Source organism: Homo sapiens, chromosome 8 (assembly GCF_000001405.40).
Source record: "Homo sapiens chromosome 8, GRCh38.p14 Primary Assembly".
NCBI classification, from domain to species: Eukaryota; Metazoa; Chordata; class Mammalia; order Primates; family Hominidae; genus Homo; species Homo sapiens.
Window position 1 is genome coordinate 110,060,123 of NC_000008.11, and position 24,528 is coordinate 110,084,650.

Here is a 24,528-nt window from a genome sequence, read left to right on the forward strand (position 1 = left end):
GGCCAGCAGGCCATCAACTGGCGCAACGACGCGGAGTTTGGCCAGGACATTTGGAAGAGAGTCTGGCTGCTGAGTGGCCGGACTCCAGGGGAAAACCACCTTCCCACTCTGTCTCCCTTCTGGCTCCCCCATCTGCTGAGAGCTACTTTACTTACATTCAATAAAACTTTGCACTCATTCTCCAAGCCCATGTGTAATCCGATTCTTCTAGTACACCAAAGCAAGAAACCCCGTCATACAGAAAGCCCTCTGTCCTTGCAATAAGGCAGGGGGTCTAATTGAGCTAACACAAGCTGCCTACAGTTGGCTAAACTGAAAGAGCACCCTGTAGCACACGCCCCCTGGAGCATCAGCTGTAAACATTCACCCTAGACCTTGCTGTGGGGTCAGAGTCCCACAACCTGCCTGTCAGCATGCTCCCCCTAGAGGTTTGAGCAGCGGGGCACGGAAGAAGCGAGCCACACCGCCCTCACTCACCCTGCGAAGGGGACAAGGGAACTTTTCCTGTTTCTACTGGGACCTGGCCCAGGAACCTGGAAGCTGAGTGCGAATGCGAAACTGTCAGGTCTGCCTCTCTTCCAAAACTCTGCCACTTCTCTTCCTTTCCTGCGTGTAAGAGGCTCTGTTGCCCTTCATGGAGTCTTAAAAACTCTGCCCTAACCCTGGCTGGTTAAAACTCCCAGACTTCAACTGTTTTCTCTCTCTCACGGTTTGAAATAGCTCTTATCTTACTTTATAATGTTGAGTTTTGCTACTGGCTGCGGCAATGTTACTAAGTAACACGAGCATTTGGCTCAGCTGCCAAAGGTGCAGATCAGACCAACTATTTTCCTAGAGGTATCTTCTATGCCTCCGCCTCGACAGCAGCAGGCACGCAGGGCTCAGGGCACCTCTCCTTATCCTTTCCCCTCCCAGCTCAGGTGCCTGGGTGTGCCCGCAGCAGGCAAAGGCCCAACCCAACAGCCACGAGGCCGCGGGGAGAGCAATGCCGCAGCTGCAGCCGCCTGTGCTGCCTAGGACGAGGGGGCGGGAGAAAACCCCGCCACAGCTGCGGCCCCACAGGCCAATGGATGGGCGCTTCTCGCCTGCCTTGCCAATGGAATGTTTCTCCCCTGGTCAAGGAATTTCTGAACCAGAGGAAAGATATAAGGATTAGAGGGATCCACTTGCACTGAGTAAGGGGTTGTTCCCCCAGGATTTCACCTTTTTGCACCTTAAACTGTTTCTCTCTATCTTGTTTTCTTTTCATAGTGAGAGGGCTCCCCCAACTCCCAGCACTCTGTTTCTGATGGCAAAGTTAACGGAGGAACAAGCCCTGCTGGCTGATAACTGCAAATTCGTCAGGGCTTATTTGAGACACTTTAGGCGGATATAAACAGCCTCTAAAATACCTTTGCAGTCCCAAACTCAATTCTAAGCTTCAGACTGAGGCCTAAAAAGAAAAACAAGGTTTGAGGGATCCAAAGCCAGGCAACAGCCACAATGTAAATGGGCAGGACCAATTCCTGCTGACAAAACCCCCCACCCCACAGGAGGCCATGCTTCATGGCATAAACAGAGCCAGGGAACTCAAAGGTTGCCAACAGCAGGGAGAAAGGGAGGCACAGGTGAGGGCGGTCAATTCCTATTCTCCAGGTTTTCCCTGCTTCATGGGTACATACCGCATCGGTACTGATGGTCGGCACCTGCTAAGGTTGCTGGGACTCAAGAGATGAGAGGAGGAATGGAAAGGAAGGACATTCGCTTTCTCTCTCCATCACACCCTGAGTATTCACTGAAGAAGGGAGGGAATGAGGGGTGCCTCTATTCCCTGTCGTTCAGAATGGGCAGCCAGCTTTTTTCACCACCCCCAGCTTATACTCCTCTGGAGTGTATCCTGAACCATTGGGACTGCTTTGACCCTCAGAATCTGGAGGAAAAACACCTCATAGCCCTATGCACAAATATTTGGCCAAATTATGATTTACAGCAAGGATCGACTTGGCCTCAGGAAGAAACCATTCATTTTGATACCATCCAGCAGTTGGAACGTTTCTGTAGACGTGAGGACAGATGGTCTGAGGCCCCGTACGTGCAGACTTTCTATACATTGCCAGGCAATCTAGATATCTGCCAACAATGTAGGATTGATCCAGTGCTCCTGTTTGACATCTCAGGGAAGGCTGCAAGGGGCAAATCCAGGGAATTAAAGATATGGATCCCAGAGGCACCCCCAGCAGAGGAGCTAGCTCCCTCAAGCCCTGCTCCTCTGGGCCCACCCCCATCTCCCTATCCAGCTTCAGCCTCTCACTTGTCCCCTCCTAGAAATCCTCACCCTAAACAAGTCCCAGTCTCACTCTTGCCCCTTCAACAAATGCCCAGTGAATTTGGAGCCAGTAAGGTCCGGGTGCCCTTCTCCCTACAGGACTTAAAGCAAATTAAGGGGGATCTTGGCAAGTTTTCAGATGACTCTGACAGATATGTAGAGACTGTCCAGAATTTCACCCAAATATTTGAACTCTCCTGGAGAGACATTATGTTAGTTTTGAATCAGACCCTGAAGAACACTGAGAAATGAGTTGCTCTGCAAGCAGCCAGAGAGATTTGGGGGTGAGCTTTGCCTCACAAATAGTGTCAGGGAATGGGATGAACGTTATCCAACTGGAAGAGAAGCAGTACCCATGAAAGACCCTAAATGAGGTCCTAGTGATGAGATGGAAGACTGAAAAAGGAGTCACTTTCAGGTGTACATAATGGAGGATTTACATACGACTAAGTCCAAGCCCCTCAATTATCCTAAGTTGTCCATGATCAACCAGGCATTTGATGAAAATCCTACTGCCTTTCTGGAAAGGCTAAGAGAAGCCTTGGTAAAGCAAACCTCTCTATCTCATGATTCAGTCAAGGGACAGCTAATCCTAAAGGATAAATTTATTACTCAGGCAGCCCCTGATAGCAAGAGGAAGTTGCAGAAACAGGCCCTGGGACCAGATAGTACATTAGAGGGCCTCCTGAAAATAGCTACCTTGGTCTTTTACAATAGAGAAAGGGAAATACAAGAAAGATGCAGAAGCTGTAATAGCCACTGGGCAAGCCCACAAACCCCAGAATTCTCAGGCTACATCTGTTATCTGCTAAACATACGACAAGAACAATTCTAGCTCTCTTCTAAAGTTTAACCAGTCTCATACAAGGTTTAATTTCTTTCACCAGGGTGAAACAGCTCAGGGTACGATGTTATTGTTGGTATATTTCACTTCTTATCTCTGTAATCTTTGGCACTAGATTATTTCCTTGCATAATACACATGTTTAACCCATGCACACTTAGCCTTATAAAACTTGTTTTTTCTCTCACGCCTAGAAGCTATCAAACTCCAAATAGTCAGGCAACCGCAGCCTCCGACAATGGCTTCCCTGTGCTAGAAACCCTTAGATAGATCTCTGGGAGGGATCTGACTGCTGTTTTCCCCAAAACAATGCCACCTGTCAGCAGGAAGTAGCTTAAGACTGGTCACTGTCCATATCCTAATAGCAATTAGCTATACCTCTTCAGAGGGGGGAAATGATATGAGAGGGGGGTAGGGAAGTGCTGGGTAGAGAAGAGCCGGTCCCTGGCTAAAGCTCCACCCCTGCGCCTGTGCCTATGGACCTAGGTGAGGACAGTCATTTCTGTTTTCGTGCCCAAATGTTGCATTTCCCAAGACCACCCTGACCCACCACACCCCCATCCTGTGACTATAAAAACCCTGACACATTAGTGGGCATGCCCACGAGTGGCTGGACATCAAAAGGAACACACCAGTGGAGGAGCACACCAACATGCACCAGCAAACGCCAGCAGGTCAGCTGCCATTGACTGGCAAAATGGCACAAAATTTGGCCCCAGAGGTTGGAAGAGAGCCCGGCTGCTGAGCAGCCTGACTCCAGGGGAAAACCATCTTCCCAATCCATTTCCCTTCTGGCTCCCCCATCTGCTGAGAGCTACTACCACTCAATAAAGCCTTGCACTCATTCTCCAAGCCCACCTGTGACCCCATTCTTCTAGTACACCAAGGCAAGAAACCCTGGGATACAGAAAGTCGTCTGTTCTTGCAATAAGGCAGGGGGTTTAATCGAGCTAACACAAACTATCTATGGATGGCTACACTGAAGGAGCACCCTGTAACACATGCCCGCTGGGGCTTCAGCTATAAACATTCAGCCCTAAATGCCGCTGTGGGGATGGGAACCCCACAACCTGCCTGTCTGCATGCTCCTGCTAGAGGTTTGAGCAGCGGGGCACCGAAGAAGCGAGCCACACCTTCATTGCATGCCCTGCCAAAGGCATAAGGGGACTTTTCCTGTTTCAATATTCCTATGCCACTTCATGGTTGAAGGAATCGAGGCAAAGAGAGGTGAGGTAACTTATCCAAGACATCTATTTGGTAGGTAAATGGACATCTAGTTTCCTTAAAAAAAAAAAAAAAGAAAAGAATTGTATCGCTAAAATGTAGCTTTCAACTGTCAACTCAGACATTATTATTCTCCTTCAAATGGTGTTCAAATTATGCCATAATATTAACCAAATATTTGTCAGTGTACTCAACACTAGTCATGTATAATTGCCGTTCTTTAAATATCCTTGATACTTTTCCATTTTTGTATTTTTGTGTATTGTATTTCTTAGTTTGAAAGATATTCCTCCAACTTTTTCTGTCCTTCAGTTTCCATTTTAAACCACATTTCCTCCATGACCTGTTATAATGATTTAATTTTTAAGTCTCATAATGATCACTACCTGTGCCATTTACTTGATCAATAGCCATGCCTACTTAGGGATGATTTTTGGGTATGGCATAGAAGGTTCATTTCTCTTTTATATTGCCATATAAATGTTATATATCTGTTATTTTTCTAAGTATATTACAGATTTATTAAGGATTAACAGAGTGTTCTGCTTAAACATTCAATAACCATTTGATTTTGTGTGTGCGTGTGTGTGTGTGTGTCTAAGTGTGCCTGTAAAAAAAAATCAAATATCTTGTCGTTGGATAAGAAGCAAAGAATATGAGATGAAAGTTCCCCAGTACTAATTAGTTTATTTATTTAGGTTTTTTATAGATGCCATATATTGAATTGTTAGAAGAATGTTATAAACTGAAGTTGGCTGTTGCCATCCGCAGCATTATTTTCTCCATCACAGAATGGTCCTGATTGTTTCTTTAATAACAGCACACATTTTCATCAGTGCATAGGGTATCAAAAAAAAGGCAATTTTTTTTTTTTTGGCAAAAGATAAAATCACTTAAATTAATCTTCCACAGAATAAGATAAAAATTTAATTCAGTGCCCTTTAGAGCATTGATTCTCTAATCATGGCCATGACCTTTCATTAAAGGTTTTCTGCATTCACCAATAGCTGATGTAATTCCATCAATGTCTAAAGGTGATTTAAGAAAGAAATTAAATTACATATGCAAAGTCAGTAAGCTGATAAATGTTAGCTTCCAAAGTAAGGGTTTGAACTTTTGTTCTTTATCTTTATATGAAAGACCAAACATCTCAAAGTAAATTTCAATTGTAAAAATATTTATTGGGTACTCAATAATGTGGAAAACACATGTGCTGAAAGATACAAATATGTATAAACAAGATATTTTTTCAAATAACTCATATTTTATTGGAGAAATAAATGTTTATGAAACTACTTATAACCTGTTATAGTGTTTTAAGCACTATGGTACAAATGTAAGTAAAATATTATGAATGTCCCAGTATGAAAGTAGAAGGGGATGAACATGGAGTGATTAAAAAATTGTTTAATAAAGGGTGATTTATGAAGATGTGGGAAGGATGTAGAGGAAGGGAAAAGGGATGTCAAACTATTACCACCTTTGGCTTAAGGAGACAGAGGAAGGAGATTGTTACTGGAACTCAGAAAGACAGAGATAGAGGGCAATTATTATTATTATTATTATTATTTTGAGACAGGGTATTACTCTGTCACCCAGCAAGTGGTAATATAGTTGATCGCAAAAATCAAATACAAGGAAAAAAGAGGTTACTATTAAAAGGTACGTTACCCTGGCTGAATTAAAACAGCAAAAAGGAGGTTATCATTCCGATTTCTTTATGCCACAGGAAAAAAAGTCACAAAAACTTTTGAAAGAATGAACTTAGTTACAAATGACAGCTTACCATCAAAAAGCATCAGATAGACAGAATAAAGATAATCAGGAGATTAGTTGAGCCTATACAGCCCATGAGGTCAACAGAAACTATTTTAACAAACTTATGATCCTCAAGTTCAAAAACAAAGAGAAAAAAACAGAAGGATGACTGGTGTTTTCTAGAACACTTTGTGCTGAAACTCACCTTCTCAATTCATAAACAATGAAGAGCACAACATCAATAGGCAGACCCTGATGATTCCTTGGGTGATATTGTGTAGTTGTGTGGGATACTGCCTGCTAAAGGCACACAAGGGAAAGCATCGTTGTCCTACCGAGCTCTGTCTTTCTTTTGAGCAGTTAGCTGGATTGTAAGTAGGGCACGCTCAATGTGCTGTTATGATTTGCCCTTTTTTTTTTTGCAGTTCACTTGAGTCACCAAAAATTGATTTTCTAAAGAAAAAAAGTGTCATTATAAAATATAGTTATTACCTCTATTTTACTATATACCATTAGGTATTACTTAGTAAACATTTTGCAATGTATTCTTTGAGTCAGATGTGTTTTTTGTAGATGAAATATCTCAAATGTGATATTAATTCCATTTTGTTGGAAGCCATACAATACAGTAATACATTTAAATATGGTTAATCTGTTTTATTTGCTACAGATAATAAAAATATTTGAATATGTTTATAATAGTTATATTTTGAATCAACAGTATTTTAAATACACTGTCAAAATGTCTTGCTTTGTATAAGAGAATATTTCTACATGTGTTCTAAATACTATCCTATCCTTTCAAAATACAGTCATGAGCTGCAGAACATTTCATCAATGACAGACCACATATATGATGATGATCTCATAAGATTATGATAAAGTATAATGCTGTGGTTTTGCTATGCCTTTTCTATGTTGAGATATATTTAGATACACAAGTACTTACCATTGTGTTACAATTGCCTACAGTATGCAGTATAGTAACATGTTGCACAGGTTTGTAGCCTAGGAGCAGGAGGCTGTACCTAGTATAGTATATAGTATAGCCTAGGAGCAGTAGGCTATACCATCTAACCTAGGTGTGTAGTAAGCTATGCCATTTAGGTTTGTGTAGGTACACTATGAGGTTCGCACAATGATGAAATTGCCTAAGGGCACATTTTCCAGAATTTATCACCATCAGTAAGTGATACATGACCGTATATGTCCTTGTAATAACTAAAAAGGTGGGCTATCTTGTTTGATTTTTATGATTTCTTTAATCAAGAGATGAAATTAATATAGCCATATCCTTTTGCACATAATCATTGAGATATTGGTTGGACCTAAAAACTTATCTTAACTATATTCTTCATGGCTTTGTGCTGGACACGTCCTCTTCAGTGGAGAGTATCACAAAATATGAATTCTATCATTTGTGGTGTCCATCTCCTTAAAACATTCAAAGGCTGATTTGATTTTAGCCTTATTTCATTGCTTTGGATTTTTAATAGCATGTTTCATGGTCATGTTCTGTGTCATTTATAGTGTCTTAAACTTATTTAGGCATTTATCATTTGAGAGAATATACTGAATAACATATCTAAATAATAGATTTAGAAATAGTTTCAGAATAAGGGCAGTCTAAACTTTACTCAGGAAAAGGACAAAAGATACAGTTGAGAGGATCACTATTGCCATTATATGTGAAGCATTGTTATTCTGGTGCAAGTCTTATTTTAGAAGTTAAATGCTATTCCAGTTTACACGGCTCACCAGATTTTTCTGTGAATGAAAGAGGACAATTACAACCTATTATTAAGGCAGTGAATACATCACTGCAGCAGTACAACTTTTTAAGAGGAAAACTGGCTAGCCATATGTAGAAAGCTGAAACTGGATCCCTTCCTTACACCTTATACAAAAATTAATTCAAAATGGATTAAAGACTTAAACATTAGACCTAAAACCATAAAAAGCCTAGAAGGAAACCTAGGCAATACCATTCAGGACATAGGCATGGCAAGGACTTCATGTCTAAAACACCAAAAGCAATGGCAACAAAAGCCAAAATTGACAAATGGGATCTAATTAAACTAAAGAGCTTCTGCACAGCAAAAGAAACTACCATCAGAGTGAACAGGCAACCTACAAAATGGGAGAAAATTTTCGCAACCTACTCATCTGACAAAGGGCTAATATCCAGAATCTACAATGAACTCAAACAAAGTTAGAAGAAAAAAACAAACAACCCCATCAAAAAGTGGGTGAAGGACATGAACAGACACTTCTCAAAAGAAGACATTTATGCAGCCAAAAAACACATGAAAAAATGCTCATCATCACTGGCCATCAGAGAAATGCAAATCAAAACCACAATGACATACCATCTCACACCAGTTAGAATGGCAATCATTAAAAAGTCAGGAAGCAACAGGTGCTGGAGAAGATGTGGAGAAATAGGAACACTTTTACACTGTTGGTGGGACTGTAAACTAGTTCAACCATTGTGGAAGTCAGTGTGGCGATTCCTCAGAGATCTAGAACTAGAAATACCATTTGACCCAGCCATCCCATTACTGGGTATATACCCAAAGGATTATAAATCATGCTGCTATAAAGACACATGCACAAGTATGTTTATTGTGGCACTATTCACAATAGCAAAGACTTGGAACAAACCCAAATGTCCAACAGTGATAGACTGGATTAAGAAAATGTGGCACATATACACCATGGAATACTATGCAGCCATAAAAAAGGATGAGTTCATGTCCTTTGTAGGGACATGGATGAAATTGGAAATCATCATTCTCAGTAAACTATCGCAAGAACAAAAAACCAAACACCGCATGTTCTCACTCATAGGTGGGAATTTTACAATGCGAACACATGGACACAGGAAGGGGAGCATCACACTCTGGGGACTGTTGTGGGGTGGGGGGAGGGGGGAGGGATAGCTTTAGGAGATACCTAATGCTAAATGACAAGAATGGGTGCAGCACACCAGCATGGCACATGTATACATATGTAACTAACCTGCACATTGTGCACATGTACCCTAAAACTTAAAGTATAATAATAATAAAATAAAAAATAAAAATAATAAAAATTAAAAAAAAGAGTAAGTGACACAGGTAAAGACCCTAGTGGCAAATGCATGTTATTGGTGCATTTTATAGTTAGTGCTGTCTTAGATATGACTTGAATAACCCAGATGCGATAGACTATGACAAATTCTAAAGTCACAGAGGAACCTCATTACATAATTTGAGTTTAACTGTCATCTCGTATGGTCCTTAATGTTTCTTTCATAAGGACCCTCTGATATCAGTGTAGCAGATAAGCCTTTGAGAATTAGAGTATTAGGATGTAAGCTATTCAGGACCTGAGAAGAGGTACTTTGAAGATGAAACACTTCAATTACCCAAGAATGAGAAGCTGGGACTCATAAATAGAAAGAGAACAGGTACAGATCAAGTTTAAATGAATAAACACCCATGTAAAGAGGAGATGGGTAAAAATATTACAAAAGCAACTGCCCTTCTCAAAAGTTAGCTTTAATGATTTCTAACAACTACTTTGATGCAGCATTTTTTATTCTATGTGATTATTAAATTTGCAATTTTAGTGGATAATAATGGATGAGTTTTACATTTAAAATTTTAAATGGCTTGATCCTGAAGAAGGAAATAAAAAACTACATTATTTTGAAGACCTGTTTTTGAAGTACCACCTACTTTATAAAATTTTGTGCTTTAGTATTATTCATAATTCTAGTTTCTCTTCTCTCTCTCCTCCCCCCCCCACCCCCCACCTTTATTTATTTATTTATTTATTTTTTGGAGCAGAGTCTTGCTGCGTCTAATAGTCTGGAGTGCAGTGGCACAATCTTGGCTCACTGCAGCCTCTCAGGCTCAAGAAATCCTCCCACCTCACCCTCCTGAGTAGCTGAGACTACAGGCATGCACTGCCATGTTTGGCTAATTTTTTTTTTTTAAAAACTTTTGGTAGAGATAGGGTCTCACTATGTTGCCCCAAGCTAGTCTCAAATGCCTAGGCTCAAGCAATTCTCCTGCCTTGGCCTCCCAAAGTGCTTTTCTCATTTTCCAAAATACTGGTTTGCTTACCTAGCTGATCCTTGCATTTTGAGGTTTTCTAAAACGTAAACTAATGTAATAGCTTTTTTAAACTATTTATTTCAAAACAGCTAAGTATACTTAAAAGCATAGTGAATATTAAAATAAGTACAACATACTCATCACCTCTATCCAAAACTATTTTCAATATTTTATATTTGTTGCATATTTTATATATCACCTATATATTTTATGTGTTTATATATTTATTTTTAGCTATAGCATTTTATAGTACAATACAATAATGGTGACAATTCATCCCTAAATATATTAACAACTCTATGTCATTATATCAAAATTACACATAACTTCTGGAAGTTATCCGTTAACATTACTAGATTGTCTAATAACCTGACAACTGATAAGTCAGATTTCCCCAAGTCACAAAAATGTATTTTTTTTTCTGGGGGAGGATGTCAGTATCCAACCAAATATTATTGATTTTATTTATTATGTCTCTTAAATATCTTTTCATCTTCCTATTTTTTCCCATAAATATATTATTGGGAATAAACAGATCAATTGTATTTTAGAATGTTCCGCATTTTCTGAATTGATCTTATTTGACTCCTGATAATGTTATTTAACTTATTGCTCTACTTTTTGTAGTTCAATATTATTAACCCTGTAAAATCTCGTAATAATTTTGCTTATCTTTAATATTTCTACATTAAACTATCTGCCATAATGAAGATAAAATTTACTTTAAGAGACACAAACTTGCTATAATATTTTTCTTTATGATAAGGTCCAAACTCCTTAGAACCATCTTCAAGACCCTTCACAATCTGGCTTTAATATTCTTTCCTCCATGGGCAGCCTTTTTTTCCTATCTGTAATTCCTCAGGGAATGCTTACCCAAGCCAGGAAAATGTTAGGTCTTACCAGGGGGTAGGATAGAAATTACAATTTTTAAGTAAAAAATATGGCCTTAAAGTAAGAAATTTGTAACACAGTGGTTTTCAAGTTGGCCATTAAAATTTAAAACAAATTAAAAAATTACAAAGCCAACCTCCACTTCTAATCTTATATCTGTTTGGTCTTTCCCTGTATAAGATTTTGTCCTTTTTAATGGTAATTTACTCAATAATATTTTACCTTGTATCAGACCCTGTGATACAAACATGAATAAGATTGAGTGTTTTTGTAAACTCCTAAATGTGAATTATTTCCACCCTTATCACCTCAGTACACTTATGACACCTTATGTAAGCTCTGCCTTTGAGATTTTAAGCTGAATTAATCCTTACATCTATAGAAACTCCCATTACTAATTTTTTATGGACTTCAGTAACCATATTCTCTATGCCGTCTTTTGTTATTGTCTATGCTACTTATGTTATTGTCTATGCTATTTATGTTATTTATTTAAGCATATTTCTCTTTGTCCAAGGTTGGCTTGTAAACCTCCTGGGATGATTGTAGAAATTGCTTCTCCAAGGGCCTATCCAAAATCCTTAATTTCTGTATCACTCTCATTTCTATGACAGACTGACCTACCCCTTGATGAGTCTTGACACATCCCACTGTTGGTTTAGAGTATAATATGGACAAATTACATTTAGATAATTCCTAAATTTCCTTCACATGCAATGATTTTTATTCGTATTCCTCAGACTATATACATACCCAATTGATTTCTGTTGTATAAATGCAGAATGTTATATTTGACCTTCTTTGAATTTTATGTTGCTTCTTTTAAGGTAGAATTCCAACTTGTTGATTTGAGTTTTGTTTTTAATGCATAAATGTTCATATTAACAACTGTTTCCAGGATTTTTAAAATCAAAGAGTGAAAGATAATTTTTTTTACTTAATTTTTAAACTTTTATTTTAGGTTCAGAGGTACATGTGGAGGTTTGTTATAATATGTAGGTAAACTCGTGTCATGGTGGTTTGTTGGATAGATCATTTTATCACCCAAGTATTAAGCCCAGTGCCCAGTAGTTATTGTTACTGCATCTCTCCCTCCTTCTACCCTCTACCCTCAAGTAGACTCCAGTGTCTGTTGTACCCTTCTTTGTGTTCTTAAGTTCTTATCATTTAGCTCCCACTTATACATGAGAACATGCGGTATTTAAGAAGGATATTAGCCTCCAGCTCCATCCGTGTTCCTGCAAAAGACATAATTTCATTCTTTTTTATGGCTGTATTTTGTATTCCATGGTGTATGTGTGCCATATTTTCTTTATCTAATCTGTCATTGATGGGCATTTAGGTTGATCCCATGTCTTTGCTATTGTGAATGGTGCTGCAATGAACATTTACATGCCTCTATCTTTATGGTAAAATAATTTATATTCCTCTGGGTGTGTAGCCAGTAATGGTATTGTTGGGTTGAATCGTAGTTCTGCTTTTAGCAGTTTGAGAAATTGTTATATATTGCTTTCCCCAATGGTTGAACTAATTTACCTTCCCACCAACAGTGTATAAATGTTCCCTTTTCTTGGCAACTTCGCCAGAGTCTGGTTTTCTTGTTTGTTTGTTTTTGTTTTTGTTTTTTAACTTTTTAGTAATAGCCATTTTGACTGTTGTGAGATGGTATCTCACTGTGGTTTTGATTTGCATTTCTCTAATGATCAGTGATATTGAGCTTTTAAAAATGTGCTTGTGGCCACATAAATACCTTCTTTTGCGAAGTATATGTTCATGTTCTTTGCTCACTTTTTAATGGGGCTGTTTGCTTTCCTCTTGTAAATTTGTTTAAATTCCTTATAAATGTTGGATAAGACCTTTATCTGATGCATAATTTGCAAAAATTTTTCCCATTCTGTAGGTTTTCTGTTTACTCTGTTGATAGTTTATTTTGCTGTGCAGAAGCTCTTTAGTTTAATTAGATTCCACTTGTCAATTTTTGCTTTTGTTGTGATTGCTTTTGGTATCCTTGTCATTAAATCTTTGCCAGTTCCTGTGTCCAGGAGGGTAAAATATTCAATTATAAAGCAATAATTGATGAGAAATGCAGTTTTTAAAGCACCTAGTTGTTTAAATTAATTATACCCTCATTATATAAAATGGGTTTACATAATCTGAACCACTGTCAATTATCTCTGATAGGCTAAGAAAATAAAAGAGATTCCAGTAATCAAAATATCAACATATATGGCGTGAATTATCAGATAGAGGTAAGAAATAAAGAATAGAGGAGAGGTTTGGATAAACTAGAGAAAAAGTAGCTAACAAATTATGTAAACTGGAGGCCTTTGGGAAAAGTATAAATATTATGCAGATCAGTTTTAAACATATAGAAAACAATGTAATCGCTAAGAATCAATATAAGTTTTCAAAAAGCAGATGAACAAGGAGAAGATGTTCATCTGCAAATCCAGAAGTTGTGTGGTCACCAGAAACCAGATCTGCTGTTACCCTGATATTAGACTTCTAACCTCCAGAAGTGTGAGAAATAGATTTCTGTCTTTTAAGCCACTTAGTCTATGGTGTTTCCATTATAGCAACCTGAACTAAGACAGGTAGAGTGCCAGGAATCTATCCTCAGATGCTTTGACCACAAGGTTTTCTTGCATGCTCAGTACTCTGGGTGAGTTGCAGAAAGTAGAGATCTTTGTTTCCAGTTAGTAATGTAAGAAAGCACATAGTTGTTTTGGCTGTATAAGCTATTCTATGTCCTGAGTTGGCCAAGCATTTCCATTTCCCTTTTCTCTAAAATGCAAATTTGAACATCATAGTTTTCATACTGTGACTTTATTTATTTATTTTCATTTATAGGTTATTATATATTTTATCTTCTCCCTAATAAATGGCCAGATTACATCCTAGATGTGTCTTTACTGACTTATCTAACTTTCATTGACCTCGATTTCTTTTAAGTAGTATAAGTACTTTGTATAATTTGTTTACAATGTTTGATGATAAATTATTTGAAGTTTCCCTCACTATTTATATGTGTTTATGTTAGAGCTAATTCTTTCACCCTATCCTCAAAAATGTCTAAAAATATGCTACATTCGTAATGGATGTTCAGCAGTATGTTTTCACAGAAATAATTGTAATGTGAATTTTACTTTTACACAGTTATTCACAAGAAAGCTTGAAGATGAATGCAATCTGAAATTCCAAGCAAAATATCAGCTTCCTTGTAAATTGTTTATTAATTCTCTGGGTTTCAAATTTTGTGGTACAATTTCAATAGCAGAGTAGAGTGATGGGTGTCCTTCAGTTTATAGAGTAAATGTAAAAAGTGTGAAAGGGTCTGTCAGTCTTAAGATTTTGATCTGTCTGTTGTTATTTATCCATAAATATCTGTGTTACCTTTTTCATTGGAAAACACTAAAGGTAGTTAAATATAAATGTTCTATGCAAATGAACATGACTGAGAGCAGAGACATAAAACAAGCTCTCTGGTTTCTTTTATATGGACACTAATTCCATTCTTGAAAGCTCCACCCTTGTGATCTAATCACCTCCCAAAGGCCCCAGAACCTAATACCATCACATTGGCGGTTAGCATTTCAACATACGAACTTAAGTGGGGTGGAGGGGGGGCACATTCAGCCCATAGCAATACCTAACCAAACATAGGTAAGACGGAGCTAAGCAAGCAAGTAATAGGAATAGTAATGGTATAATAATAATAATGGAATTATACAGGATCACAGAATACATTACAGACAATTTGGGACACAGAGGTTCTAATGTAGTCCATAAAGGCAGCAGAATGTCATGCATGTGCCGTGAGAGCCCTTTGGTTGAAAAAATAATTTAGTCAATATTCTAGACATTATTATTGAAATTACGTACTCATTCAGCTGACATAATTCTCTCCACAAAGAAAACTTAGATTTCTGACCTTGGATAGTAGCACAAAGAGACTGAACTGTATCAGTAGGTAACTAAATGTTTATGAGGCAAAGAGTAAAATTATTAGTACCATTCTTGATAAAGAGTTCAATGTAAAGTGAATAAAAGTAGATGAGATTGGATGTAACGCAAGGTAAATTATGACTTGCTATGTTCCTTATTAAATTCAAATAATATGGGGATAAAAAGTTACATGAATTAGTATCTAAATGAATGTATTGAAGTGAAAGGGGAAAAAAGAATCAAAAACTAATTTGAAGTTTATAACAAGGATATTCAAAGTATGTTCTTGGGGAATTAGAGAAGGAAGAAAGAAAATATTTTGAAAGGAAGACTTGACTTTCATTTAAGAGAAATTTAAAGTAATACTAAATTATAGTTTAATGAGATAAAAAATGTATTTTCTCCTTTAACATAGATTATATGACCATATGACTTTTACTTGTAGAGTCTGCATTATATTACTTCACCAAAAGAAATTGATAAAAATAAAATATTCACAAAGATAATATAAATGGGATTAACCCCGTATTAGACTTACATAAATTTTATGTATAATAATGCAAGACCACCTGTGCATGAGCTAAAAATAGTAAAAAGAGCTAAAAACAAAAAATAGCTTTAAAAATGTGTTAAATGAAAAGAGTAAACAAATAAATTAGTTAAATATTTCTATTTATATAAGTAACTGTAATATTGTAATGGTATTGCCTATGTTGTCTTACAGGGTTTTTATAGTGTTGGGTTTTAGATTTAAGTCTAATCCATCTTGAGTTGATTTTTCTATATGGTGTAAGGAAGGGGTCCAGCTTCAATCTTCTGCATATAGCTAGCCAGTTATCCCAGTTATTAAACAGGGAGTCTTTTCCCCGTTGCTTTTGTCAGCTTTGTCAAAGATAAGATGGTCATAGATGTGCGACCTTCTTTCTGGGCTTTCTGTTCTGTTTCATTGGTCTATGTGCCTGTTTTTGTACCAGTACCATGTTGTTTTGGTTACTGTAACCCTGTAGTTTAGTTTGATACGTGCATGTTGAGGAGTACATCCTTAATGTGTACATTGAAAATATTTTAAATTCCTTAAAATTTTATCACCATCAAAAAAGCTTATCACATGTTTAATGGATATAACTAGATATTACAGTACAGAAACAGAAAGCAGATATGGCTATAGATATAGAAAATCAGGGAATGATAATCCAAGCCACATGTAAATACTTCACAATTTTTCTTCCTCTCATTAATGTATTTCCTAGTCACTTAAATAAAGTGATTCAGCCGCAGGTCAATTTATGTTACTGATTGCTTATTCTGAATTCTTTAAAAAATATATAGGCATTAAAATTGACTTGGTGAAGAGCACTACATTGCCATGGAATATCTTAGTAATCAATTTATACATTAAAATTTACTCGCCATTTTCCTTCTATGTTTTCAAACTCAGCATGAGAAGGTGTACCTTTTTTTTTTTCATATGATGACAGTGATAGATAATGGCTGTAAGCTGGAATCTACACAAAGGTTTCAATTCTCAAAGAGTTTCAGTAGAACAATTCTGATGATCTTCGTGTGTTTAGGAAAGATTTATACATATCATTATTTTTTCTAAATTAGCTAATCCAATTATGTACAAGTACATACAAGTCTAATGACAACAAATCACCTTCCTCAGTTTACTTCATTTTTCACTGGTTTATCAACATTTTATAAGAATAAACTATTTCCAGATCCTTGAAATAAGACTGTGAAAATAATGTTATCCAAGTATAATTGATTCACTAAAATATCTTGTCTTGAGTAATTTTCATTTAACTGAATATATGTATGAGTGAATATATATTCTTATGATTAAGTCAGTAGAAATCAGAAAAACATACTGTGTAATACTCCAATAAGAACTTTAGATTTGGGGATCCAAAAATACAGAAAATATTTTCTTTGTACCATTATTTTAATACATTTGAGTACAAATATTATTTTATAAAAACCAGTATGAGCTCTATCCAGTACTGTGATATTATGGTAATAAAATACTAATACCTGCATAATTCCTTATAAGTTTATTTAACTCCAAATTATTTATATTTCTTAAAACAAGTGATTATTACCTTTAGCCTCAGACACAAAAACTGAAAGTAACAATTAAACTTTAGTGCATTTCTTACTATTCAGTGTACTTGGACAGCTGGAATAGAAAATCAGCTGAGTCTGGCCTCAGTCTTCTGTAAATTTGGGGTAATAATAATAGTGGTGTCAGAAAGCAGCTTTAAAGCCTTGAAAAGCCACTTGTTCTACTTGGAATGAGGATAATGAAGATGACGATGGTGTGATGGTGGTGGTACCAAACACTAACATATTGTTTGCTACGTTGAGGCACTAGCCTAAGCCTTTTGTATAAATTAAGTCATTTAATGACATAACAAACCTATGAAGTGTGATTATCTTCTCCATTTTATAAAGGAAAACTGACAAAAAATAACATGGAATAGCTTGCATATGGTCACACATGTGGTATGTTCTACAGGTTTCAAATGCAAAAGGCCTGCCTTCAGAATTTATGTTCTTTCCCTTTCACACTTCTGTTTCTCTTTTTTTTTAAATTATACTTTAAGTTTTAGGGTACATGTGCACAACGTGCAGGTTTGTTACATATGTATACATGTGCCATGTTGGTGTGCTGCACCCATTATCTCTTCATTTAACATTAGGTATATCTCCTAATGCTATCCCTCCCCACTCCCCCGACCCCACAACAGGCCCCGGTGTGTGATGTTCCCCTTCCTGTGTCCATGTGTTCTCATTGTTCAGTTCCCACCTATGAGTGAGAACATGCAGTGTTTGGTTTTTTATCCTTGCGATAGTTTGCAGAGAATGATGGTTTCCAGCTTCATCCATGTCATAACTGAAGATTTTCTCTTTGCTGACTTCTCCTTCAGGGCTGAGCTAAAAAATCACTGATGCAGAGAGGCTTCCTGGCATCATCCAGTCTAAACTGGTCTTGCTGCATCCCCTTTCTCAATTCCATCAGTGTTGATTCCATTAGCTTCTTTTTTTATATCCTTTGTAGCACCCTTTCACTATTTAAATCTATCTATCTATCTATCTATCTATCTATCTATCTATCTATCTATCCATCCATCCATCCATCTAGTAATTTACTCATCCCCCTTCCGTCATGTTTCTTGAGCAAAAAATATTCTCAGTCTTGTTCAGTATTCTATGGCCAGCACATACAACAGTGACTGGCACATTACAAATAGTTATTAGGTAGTTGTTCAACTATTTAAATAATACAACAAATAACTATTACATCTGTAGAATTAACTGGATTTTTGTCAGGATTGTTTAACCTGAAACATTTCAAAACCATGGGATTTAGAATTATCTAAAACTGGGTTTGAACTTCAGTTCTACCATCTTCCAGATATATGATCTCATAATGGCTATTGAAGTTCCTTAAGCTTGGTAAATTGTTTACATTGGAAAAATAAAAGTACCTATATTATATGGTTGATTTGAATTTAAATTTCATTTAAATTCAATGGTACTTGTAAACTTACAGTATCTTTTACATGATCAGCACTCAAGTGTTAGGTTTGCATATTATGCAGACAGCGACATACCTGGAATAGAAACAGGGTGGAGCATGGAAGACATTTAATAATGAGGAAGGATCAGATTGGTAATAAGAAAAACAGCAAAAATTTGGTATCAAATTAGCCCAAAACCAGAATAAGAAGTTTACTCCAGAACCACACTCTACTAATATTTCCTAGGTTTTAGAGACCTAATAGATCATACCTGTTAATTCCTTTCTTGGGTTTAGTCCAGTAAAAAGATACACACGGGTGTCAGACAGATGGTGATTATAAGTAGAGAATGTGACTGAGATGGTGGTTACAATGATTTCCTTATAGTTTAACCCATTACAAAACTTATTGCCCCTCGCAATACTGAAGAAGTTTCTTTGAAGTGCAGGATCTACCCTAAAACATTGTCATGCGGTTGAAGAGAGATCCTGTACCTTCTGCAGCTCAGCATATCTGAAATAAAAGAAAGAAGCAAGTCCTATTCCTTTGCTTTATTTCTTTTTTAGAAAGCATTTTTTAAAAATTTTACTATCTTTTTAATTTAATTTAATTTTATTATTATTATACTTGAAGGTTTAAGGTACATGTGCACAACGTGCAGGTGTGTTACATATGTATACATGTGCCATGTTGGTGTGCTGTACCCATTAACTCGTCATTTAGCATTAGGTGTATCTCCTAATGCTATCCTTCCCCCTTCCCCCCACCCCACAACAGACCCCGGTGTGTGATGTTCCCCTTCCTGTGTCCATGTGTTCTATTGTTCAATTCCCACCTATGAGTGAGAACATGCGCTGTTTGGTTTTTTGTCCTTGCGATAGTTTGCTGAGAATGATAGTTTCCAGCTTCATCCATGTCCCTACAAAGGACATGAACTCATCCTTTCTTATGGCTGCATAGTATTACATGGTGTATATGTGCCACATTTTCTTAATCCAATCTATCATTGTTGGACATTTGGGTTGGTTCCAAGTCTTTGCTATTGTGAATAGTGCCACAATAAACATACGTGTGCATGTGTCTTTATAGCAGCATGATTTATAATCCTTTGGGTATATACCCAGTAATGGGATGGCTGGGTCAAATGGTATTTTTAGTTCTAGATCCCTGAGGAATCGCCACACTGACTTCCACAATGGTTGAACTAGTTTACAGTCCCACCAACAGTGTAAAAGTGTTCCTATTTCTCCACATCTTCTCCAGCACCTGTTGTTTCCTGACTTTTTAATGATCGCCATTCTAACTGGTGTGAGATGGTATGCCATTGTGGTTTTGATTTGCATTTCTCCGATGGCCAGTGATGATGAGCATTTTTTCATGTGTTTTTTGGCTGCATAAATGTCTTCTTTTGAGAACTGTCTGTTCATATCCTTCACACACTTTTTGATGGGGTTGTTTGTTAGAAAGCATTCTTTTGTTATGATTGACATGTAAAAAGTTGTACATACTTAATGTAAACAACTCAATGCGTTGGGGGATAAGCCTAAAGCTGTGAAAGCATCACCACCATCAAGACAATAGACATATCTATCACCTCCTGAAGTTTCCTCCCACCCTCTTTATTATTTTTATTATTATTGTTAATTTTTTATGGCAAGAACACTTACCATTAGATCTACTCTTCTGGCAAAGTTTAAGCATACATTGCAGTATTGTGAGCTATAGACACTATAGAGTTAGCAGATCTCCAGAACTTAATTTTCATGCATAACTGAAACTCTGTACCCTTTTATTTGGAATAGAAATTGGCATAGTCTTTGTGGAAAACAGTATGGAGGTTCTTCAAAAAACAGAACTTCCATATGATCCAGCAATCCTACTTCTAGTTATTTATCCAAATGAATTAACATCAGGATTCTGAAGAGATATCTGCACTTGTGTTTTCATTGCAGCAATACTCACAATAGCCAAAATATGGAAACTACCTAAATATCAATTGAGATGTCAATGGATAAAGAAAACATGATGTATGCATATTATACAATGGAATATTATTCAACCTTAAAGAAGGAAATTCTGCTATTTGTAACAACATGGATGAACCTAGAGGGCATTATGCTATGTGAAATAAGTCACATACAGAAAGACAAATACTGAAGGATCTCACTTTTACGTGGAATCATTGACTCCTAGAATCGTAAAGTAGAATGGTGGCTGCCTGTTCCTTTTCTTAAACTCACCAATGAGATCGATCATGTCTGTTTAGGAGAAATACTGACTTTGACGAGAAAGAGGACAATCTTTTCATTCTAGCACTTCCATATGATGAGAAAAGAATGGTTCCCTAATAGTTATTTGTTACAACAAATAATTATGTTTTATTTGTTTTCCTTCCAACTTTTATTTTAGGTTTGCGGGTACATGTGCAGGTTTGGTACATGTGTAAATTGTGTGTCACTGGAGTTTTGTTATTTCATCACTCAGATAGCGAGCGTAGTACCCAAGAGGTAGTTTGTCATTCCTTACCCTCTTCCCACCCCCACCCTGAATAGGTAACTATTGTTCCCTTCTTTGTGTCCATGTGTATTCAATGTTTAGCTCACACTTATGAAGTATTTGATTTTCTGTTCCTGTGTTAATTTGCTTAGGATAATAGCTTTTAGCTACATTCATGTTTCTACAAAGGACATGCTAAGTATATTCAGTCATTCATCTTACACAGTACATCTAAGTCCAATCATTTTTGCTCAATATGCTTATCGCCTGCAACCTAGTTTCTTAACTACCAAGCTTTGAGAAATCACCTACCCTCTCGGGAAGTTCTACCTCCTTGCTTAGGGCCCATGAACCTTGAGGGTGACTATACTGAAACTATACCTTACATCTGGTTCTTACTTCAGGTCCATGACTACCAAGATTGCCCACATGTTCACCTTAAATAAGACATCTTGATAAATTAGTAATTAATGATTTCATTCTTTTTAATGGCTGTGTGGTATTTCATAGTGTATATGTGCAATGATTTCTTTAGCCATTTAACTACTGAGGGACATCCAGGTTGATTCCACGTCTTTGCTATTTTGAATAGTGTTGCAATGAATATACATGAGCATGTGTCCTTATAATAGAAAAATTTTATATTCCTTTTGGTATATACTCTGTAATGGGATTGGTAGGTCGAATGGTATTTTTGTCTTTAGGTCTTTGAGGAATGGCTACACTGGCTTCCACAATGGTTGAACTAATTTACAATCACACCAACAATGTATAAGCATTCCTTTTTCTCTACAACCTCTTCAGCATCCATTACTTTTTGACTTTTTAATAATGGCAGTTCTGACTGATATGAGGTTGTATTTCATTGTGGTTTTGATTTGCATTTCTCAAATGATCAGTGTTGTTGACCTTTTTTTTCAAGTGATTGTTGGCTGCATATTTGTTTTCTTTTGAAAAGTGTCTATTCATGTCCTTTGCCCACTTGTTTTTCTCCTATAAGTTCCTTATAGATGCTGGATTAGACTTTTGCTGGATGTATAGTTTGCAAAAACTTTCTCCCATTCTGTAAATTCTTTATTCTGTTAATAGTTTCTTTTGCTGTGCAGAAGCTCTTTAGTTTAATTAGATCCCATTTGTCATTTTTTTTTGCAATTGCTTTTGGAGTCTTCATAAAGAAATCTTTGCCACAGCCTATATCCAGAATGGTACTGCTTAGGTTTTCTTCTACGTTCTTCATAGCTTTTGGTTTTACATTTAAGTCTAAGTCTTTAACTATCTTGGGTTAATTTTTGTATATGGTGAAAGGAAGTGGTCCAATTTCAAACTTGGGCATATGGCTAGCCAGTTAACACAGCACCATTTATCTAATAGAGTCCTTTCTCCATTGCTTGTTTTTCTCAGCTTTATCAAAGATCACATGGTTTTTAGGTACGTGGCTTTATTTCTGGGTTATTTAATCTATTCCTTTGTTGGTGTGTTTGTTTTTGCCCAGTACCATGATATTTGAGTTACTATAACCTTGTCATTTAATTCGAAGTCAGGTAATGTTATGCCTCCAGCTTTGTTCCTTTTACTTAGGACTGCTTTGGCTATTTAGGCTCCATTTTTGTTTTATATGAATTTTAGAATAGTTTTTTTCTAATTCTGTGGAAAATGATGTTGGAAGTTTGATGAAATAGCATTGAATCTGTACATTGCTTTGGGTAGTATTGACGGCAACAAAGACCCATCTGGAGCAGCCGCTGCCACGATGCCAGCTTCAGTGGGATAGGTGCAGCTGGGGCTGTGCACTCCCTGTAGCCAGCAGGAGCTGGCAACAGGTGGAAGCCCCGCCCCCTTCCAAGTTGGAGGAGTGGGAACCCCGCTGCAGCTGCCCAACCAAGGCGGTGGACCCAGACATCTCTGCACTCTCAAGAGCCTGGGAAGCCCCCCGACAATGCAGGCATGGAAGTGCCTGCTCCTACTGCCTGGTCTCTTCCTGCACCTGCTCTGATTTCAGAGCAAAGTTGTGGGAGAGCCAGGGTGCTGTCATGAACCAGCTGGGTGTGCACACGCTCAGGGCAGCACTGCCATGCCAGCACTTTGCTGCCTCGATCCCCTTTGGACTTTGGATGCTGACAACATGGGAGAAAGGCCAAGTGGGGGCTGAGGGCATCTTGGCACAGGCCTGCAGGCACCCCTCAGCACAAAAAGCCTGGGAACTGTGGGCATCATGGATGGAAGGTTAATGGTGGCAGGATGCAGACTGGCTCCTGGGTGGAAAGGGGCTGGTCCATGGTGAAACCCAATCATTAGGTCAGAGACAGCCTGAGAACTGGGGGCCAGCCTGCCAGTTCCACGGACCAGAGAGAAAACTTATAATGCTTTTTCTGGGCCTACCCATGGCTACCAATGGACCAATCAGCACACACTTCCTCCCCTCTGAACACTATAAAAACCCTGGACTCAGCCAGACTTGACAGATGATGGGATGGCCTGCCTGTGGAGAGGAGCTACCCACTGTGGGGTTCCTCCCTGCTGAGATCTGGGCTTTCATTGGGACAAACTTCCTGTGGAGAGGATAAACCCACTGGGGGTCTCCTCTGAGTGGTTCTGTTGCTCAATAAAGCACCTCTTCACCTTGCTCACCCTCCACTTGTCCCTGTACCTCAGTCTTCCTGGATGTGGGACAAGAACTCGAGACCTGCTGAATGGTGGGGCTGAATGAGCTGTAACACATACAAGGCTAAAACACACCTGTTGTTTGCGACGTCGCCTGTGATGAGAGGTAGAGGAGAGAAAAGGAGAAAACTGCGGCTCTTCGGGGACCTCAGATCTGGGAGCTCCCCGAGCCAGGGCTCTGACACCTGTGCACAGTGGCTGGACCCCACGCTCACTCGCTCACACACCTTTCACTGCTCCACACCTGGCTTGCCCTTGGGAGGTGTGGGATCCAGACGGGTAGCGCAAGCTGAGCACAGCATGACAGGCCGAGTGGGCAGACGAGCCCAGAGGTTCTGAGCAGAACTCGGGCAAAGGCATCACCATCCACAGAAGTTTCCAGCTAGTAAAGCAACACTCCAAAGGATCCTGTGACAGTAGAGCCATTTTAACCTTATTGATTCTTCCTATCCATGAACATGGAATATTTTGCGATTTGTTTATGTCATCTTTGATTTCTTTCAACAGTGTTTTGTAATTCTTGCTGTAGAAGTCTTTATCCTCCCTGTTTAACTGTATTCCTAGGTATTTTAATCTTTTTGTGGCTATATGAATGGGATTACATTTTTGACTTTGCTCTCTGCCTGGATGTTATTGGTATATTGAAATTCGATGGATTTTTGTACATTAATTTTTATCCTGAAACTTTGAGTTGTTTATCAGATCTAGGAACTTAAAGTAGAGACCGTGGGGTTTTCTACTTATCAAATCGTATCGTCTGTGAAGAGAAATAGTA

At 37.8% G+C, this 24,528-nt stretch overlaps 1 annotated feature.

Moving 5' to 3' along the window:
* Positions 22,546-23,047: an enhancer, noted in NCBI's record as "H3K4me1 hESC enhancer chr8:111094897-111095398 (GRCh37/hg19 assembly coordinates)". NCBI's record gives its function as "activates a minimal SCP1, AML or CMV promoter by ChIP-STARR-seq in naive H9 embryonic stem cells {active_cell/tissue: H9 hESC(naive)}" and the evidence as "EXISTENCE:reporter gene assay evidence [ECO:0000049][PMID:30033119]".